Source organism: Homo sapiens, chromosome 3, assembly GCF_000001405.40.
Source record: "Homo sapiens chromosome 3, GRCh38.p14 Primary Assembly".
Lineage (NCBI taxonomy): Eukaryota > Metazoa > Chordata > Mammalia > Primates > Hominidae > Homo > Homo sapiens.
This window is the reverse complement of record NC_000003.12, coordinates 20,541,253-20,547,861: the sequence shown is the minus strand read 5'-3', so window position 1 is coordinate 20,547,861 and position 6,609 is coordinate 20,541,253. Positions and strand designations below refer to the sequence as shown.

General features: G+C 34.3%; 1 annotated feature.

Moving 5' to 3' along the window:
* Positions 238-438: a silencer, noted in NCBI's record as "peak4567 fragment used in MPRA reporter construct". NCBI's record gives its function as "represses an SCP1 promoter by STARR-seq MPRAs in K562 erythroleukemia cells {active_cell/tissue: K562}" and the evidence as "EXISTENCE:reporter gene assay evidence [ECO:0000049][PMID:32103011]".

The following is a 6,609-nucleotide window of genomic DNA, read 5'->3' as shown; positions in this document are numbered from 1 at the left end:
CGCCCGGTCTGGGAAGTGAGGAGACCCTCTGCCCAGCCGCCACCCCGTCTGGGAGGTGTACCCAACAGCTCATTGAGAAGGGGCCATGATGAGGATGGCAGTTTTGTCAAATAGAAAAGGGGGAAATGTGGGGAAAAGAAAGAGAGATCAGATTGTTACTCTGTCTGTGTAGAAAGAAGTACACATAGGAGACTCCATTTTGTTCTGTACTAAGAAAAATTCTTCTGCCTTGGGATGCTGTTAATCTATAACCTTACCCCCAACCCCGTGCTCTCTGCAACATGTGCTGTGTCAACTCAGGGTTAAGTGGATTAAGGGCGGTACAAGATGTGCTTTGTTAAACAGATGCTTGAAGGCAGCATGCTCATTAAGAGTCATCACCACTCCCTAATCTCAAGTACCCAGGGACACAAACAGTGCGGAAGGCCGCAGGGTCCTCTGCCTAGGAAAACCAGAGAACTTTGTTCACATGTTTATCTGCTGACCTTCCCTCCACTATTGTCCTATGACCCTGCCAAATCCCCCTCTCCAAGAAACACCCAAGAATGATCAATAAATACTAAAAAAATTAAAAAAAAAATGCTCGCATTTCTTCCTTCTGTTGATAAGCTGATTACATACCACTTTTATCTTTCCATTAATTAAGTCCCCAAGGACAAACACCATGTATAGTTTTATAAGTGAAATACCATCATATAGATACTTGAAATTAATACTACTTCAGTTCTTTAAAAATACTCCACAATTCCATATTTTCACTAATTCGGTCCAAACTTTCTTGACTAAACTGAACAAGTGGGATTAAAAAAAAAAAAAAAAAAAAGAGCAGAGGAATATAGAAATTAATCTGAAAGCACAAAACAGTAAAATTGATTAATTCAAAAAGTGATTCCTTAAAAATGTTTATGTAAAAGGCAAAATTTCTGACAATCTAATTCAGGAAACCTGAAATTCACAAAATAGGAATGTGAAAAATGTTCTGCACCCCCCTAAACACTCACATACACACACACGCCTTTTTCAATGGCTAAGGACTCCCAAGAGTCATCACGATAAAGTAATAAAAACAGAGATAGATGCTGAAGTATTTTAATGACTTTGTGATGCATACTGACAGGGGAAGGACAATGAGATAATACAAATGTAGTTCAAAAACGTCAACTTCCATTTAACTAGATGAAAAACCAAATCCTTCTCCATGTTGTAACATTTTCCCCAATCTCTTATTATACCTCTTTCCCATCACCATGGCAACCCAATCTTTCAATAAACAGTAAGAAGATGGAGTAAATAAACCCGACTTTTCTCCCAATTCCTTGGAAATATCCCCTGTATGGGTGGGCTCATAGACTTGGTATGCTCCAGCCAATCAGGACTAGAAAAGCTACCTCCTGGGCCTGTGCCTCCAGATTTCTTAATTAGTGATACTTTATTCACAGCCATATATACTCTCCCAAATCAAGCGTAAGTTGGAAAGTCGCATACCGAAGTGATTTTAAATTATATATGGTAGAGACAGGAAATGTATCTAGGAAATCTATCTAAGGAAATGACTTTTTACCTTAATCATTCTTAAATATAATAGTGGGAAGAAATTATCAGAGTTGCCTGGGATATTTTTCAAACATTTGGCTTCCCTGTCTTCCCACATAAATATTTAGTTTCACCATGTCTTTTCCCCCAGTACCAAAGCCCAGATTTATGGACATTGTTACAGTATACCCCTGCTCAAGTTGGGATGAGAAAATACCACAATCAAAATGGAGAACTAAAATACCACAATCAAAATGGAGAACTAAAATAGCATAATATAAAAGAGAATGTTCGAGGTCATTGAGTTATTTATGAGTATCAAAAAGGGACTAGCCAATCAAAAGTGTAATATTCAGAAGAGCAAAAGAGAATGAGGAATGCAGGCCAAATCAGAAAGATAAATTTGAGTTATCTTCTAGAAACCTATTATACTTCACTAAAACTATGTTTGATTATTTCATTTAAACATTTCAAAAAGATATAATCATACATATAGAAGTAATTAAATGTCAATATGTTGGGAATCTGAGTGAATGTATACAGGCTTTCCTTGTTCTGCTTTAGCAACTTTTGTTTAACTCTAAAATTATTTCAAATAGAAAGGAAGATGATTTAAAAGAGAAAGTACCAAGCTAGTAAATGTATGAAAGCATTTTCAATTTAAGCAGTCAGCAACAAAATATAGAAAATAAAACTAATATACTATTTAAAAATTATAATATTCAATACTGATGGCTTTGCAATGAAATGAATAGAACCTCTGAAATGTTCCTGTAATTTTACTTGGTATACTTCCACTTCTAGGAATTTACCTTCAGGACCTACATAAATTCATTCAAAGCTTAATATGGAAGAATATTCATCATGGCATCACTTATAATGGGAAAAATACAAAATTGATCTAAACATACAGCGGTATGAAAATATTCAAAAGAATTACAATATTCCACAATATTATTTGTTAAAAATAATCACAACTAACTTTCAAAATGCAGAATAATGTAGTTTAAAAAAAATGATTTTTATAAGGTAATAGAAAAGGGTGGCATACAAATCTGTATAAAAAATATGGGTCTAACATACAATACAAGAGCCTTCCTCTGGATTATGAGTTGCTTGGTTTTATTCTTTATGTTTTTCTCTATCTCTGAAGATTTTTGTTTAATGGAGACATGATGTTTTAATAATTAAAAAAACAAGTGACAAAAAAATTAAGATACTTTTAATCCTAACTGCAACCAATGACTGATTTTCTAAACACATTGTTGTGGCCCTAAAGAAACAGCAGACAGTATCTAAACATTAGGTAAATCATGTAGAAAATCCATACTGAAGTCATTAAAAATTGGAAAACCTGAAATATAAGGTAAATTCTATTCTTCATTACTTCTATTTTATAACAGACTTGTCAACTTATTCAAGATTATACAGCAGTAAACTCATAAATTAATAGAGTAATATTATCTTTAATTTTGAAATTGAAATTGCAGATTCTTCCAAACCAAAAATCCAGCTGGTTTAAAGGGTCACGACACTCAAATGAAGAATTCAGTATAAAAATATATATATACTAACCTAGTACTTAGACATAGAAAGGGAAAAAAAAACTTTTCTTTTTTAACTCAATTGCTAACTTTTTTTATTTTGAGGGGTTCACCAGTATGATAGCCTTACCCTCATGATTACTAACTTGTCCATTAGACTACTTCCAAAGTTGTGTCCCAAGCACACTGTTCAAGTGGTTTAGACAAATTTTCACTTTTCTGTAGGAGCATCCAGTGAGCAAGCAGATACAGGATTCTCAGTGTCTAGATCAGTGCTCTGCAGAGGATTTTGATTATATACTTTTACCAATTAAAAAAAAAATTGAACATGCCCTCTCCCATATTTTATATATGAATTACTCTATTTAATAATCCAAATTACAATATAGGACAGAATGTATTATTATTAATGATGGGTGTATATAAGTAGTTCAAATAGCCTTTGTGATTGGTTGAATTTTTGGCATCTTTTCAGAATATTGTTTTACTCTCTAAGGGACTGCTGAACGCCTCATTCAACTCATAGAAAAGATGCAGTGAGGCCTCTTCAGAATTTCCATATCTGCTCGCATTATTGGGACACTCTCTTCACATTTTCTCTGAAGAAATCTTTTTAAGCTATGTGTCCATCATTGAGGATTACTTCAAGTTGAAACTAGACAATATTATTTCATGCATTATTCCATCTAGCCAGTCACAAGTAAACAGCATGTGTCACAAAATACTGAAAATAAACAGAATGTGGCACTCCCCTAGAATTTGGCAACGCTCCTGTAGTTTTCCACTCTGAATTATTCAGTAAGCCTTATATAGTAGTTCAGGTCTGTTTAGTTGCTATTAGAGAGAACCCCAAAATTTATCTAGCTTAACACAAAAGTCCAAAATGGTTGTTCAGCAGCAGCTCTCCTCCAAGAGGCGATTAAGAGAGCCAGCTCCTTTCTACTTTATGCCTCTGTTATCTCCTGCATTTGTCTCCCAAGGCCTCCATGTTCATTTCCATTAAGCCATAAAGATCATGCATGGGAGGTCTGTTATGGGACAGGCCAGGAACAATGCGAATCACTCATTTCCATATTCTGTTAACCAGAGTTCAATCAAATGGCCACACCTAACTACACAACTGTCTAAAAGGTAGTCAATCCTGTGCCAGGAGGAAGAAAGAGTTTTGTAAAAGAGCTAGCCAATCTCTTCCAACACTGTGCGACCATTCCCATAGCAGACAGACTGAATAATTGCATCAGATGTCCATCTGTATATTAAATATTAGCCATGCCTAATCCATTTATCTTAAAAGAATAATGCCCATAGAGATTTTGCTTGGCTTTTAAAAAATATTTCCAATACAGCAGTAAGCAGAAAGATGCCAGTACCAAATGAATAAGTATCTATCTTCTTGCCTTCTGCTCGCATTACCGAGAGTATGAGTCCCCTAAAACTGAGGGAAATTATAATTAGTCTCCAATCAGAAAATTCACAAATCAAAGTCAAGCTACCATAAAGCAGTGGTTCTTAACCTAGGGTTAACAGACTGCCAAATATCTATGGATGGATAAATATGTGTCAGAGATCATACTACTGATATTGTAAATGAAATTGTGTACATATAGCTTGTGAGTACGTGTGTGTGTGTATGTGTGTGTGTTTGTGTCCATTTTTGGTAGAGGATCAAAATTTTAAAAGGATGTATGACTAAATAATATAAATTTTAAAAACAACAAGTAAACTTTTCTCAAGCTGGTTAACATAAATATACCAATCAAGACTCCACCAAAAGTTATTATACATTAATGCTTCAAAAATATATCACTGCAGTGTTCTTCTACTCTTCTATTATTACCAATATGAAAAAGAAAACAGGCTGTCTCATTATATATGACAGGATGGAGATCACTGTAAGAGAGAGCATGACTATATGGTTATAGTCTATGCTTCTCACAGTGACAAATGTCAGGAATTGAAAAACTCATTGGTAGTATTTGATAGTCATGTGGCGCTTAAAGGATTAAAAAGCCTGTGAATGCAGATTGATAAATTATATTTTATTTAAGTTATCCCTTATGCTAAGGAGGACTTGGACCAACAAGATAATAATTGTTTCCATAGGATGAATTACTGTATAATTTATATATGGTCCTGAAAATTCCAATGCAAATTCATTTTTCCCTAATACAAATAATGTAACACAATTTAAAACTTACTAAATAATTTAACAAAACTTTGTTATAGTACTTGAAACCTGGATCCTTAATTATTAGAATATTGATAATATATTACTTATGCAAAATTTAAAGTTCTTCTGTAATATGACTACCCTGTCCTTTGGCTCTGTTTACAGTAGGAAATACTGTATTAAAAATTTTCTGGTCCTCTGCCACCCTCTGCCACAAAGATAAATAAGAAGTGCCCCTTACAAATCTTTGTTATTTTAAAACCCACTCACTTAAAATGGCAGTGCTTTTTCAAGAGTTATACACCAATCAGTGGCAAAACTAACATTCCTTTTTCTGAAATAATTATTTTCCTTCCTGATTAGTGGCATTTCAAATAAATTGCTTGAAGCCTATGTTTTTGGATGAGACAGAAAAAAGGAGATGTTTTAGAAGAAATTACTAGGTAGGGTTTCCTGATACTGTACATTCTATGGTCTGGGATTTAGTGTCTTTGATCTTGGGGAAGAAAGATCTTCATTCTTCTTGGGAGGTATATAGCCTTGCCTTAAAAGCCCAACAGGCAGACTGAATAATGGCATCAGATGTCCATCTGTATATTAAATATTAGCCATGCCTAATCCATTTATCTTAAAAGAATAATGCAGATAGAGATTTTGCTTGGCTTTTAAAAAATATTTCCAATACACCAGTAAGCAGAAAGACACCAATACAAAATGATAAAAGAGATAAAAGATACTGGAGTTTGGGGAGTCAGGCTAGCTGAATGATAGTGGACTCTACCCATGCCTCAGGAAAGCACAAGACAGTGCTTGCCTTTTTGAACTTCTCCACTGTCTGTCCCGCAAGGGAGAAAATATGTTCACTTAGAACAGAAAAATACTTGCACGTGTTGGGGAAGGAAGTAGTATTCAGAAGAAATCAACATTTTCTTTGCAGAAAGCATGGCTCTGTGTGTTAGGAGAGGACTAACTCTAGTAGGTAAAAAGTAAGATAGCAACTGGTTTTCAAGGCTTATTATTCTCTCCATCATGCTTTGCTGAACTAATGCTATAAAAAATTACATTTTAGAAAAAATACGTGATTTGATTATCTGCAGAACAGAGTAGGCATGAAAACAGCCTGTAATTAAACTGGACTGGAATAATCTAGTAAGTGGAAAACTAGATGATTAATTCATTTTATATTTATATGTATTTGTATTTTACATTTACATGATGCCATTCTTTTGTGACAGTAACTGAAGGAAAACCTGTTCAATTATGCTCACACTGAATATCTAATGTTAAATTATTTTAATTCATTTAGTGAGCATATCCTGAGTAGATGCTCTGTTCCAGGCATTATCTGATGGGCTTCTCCAT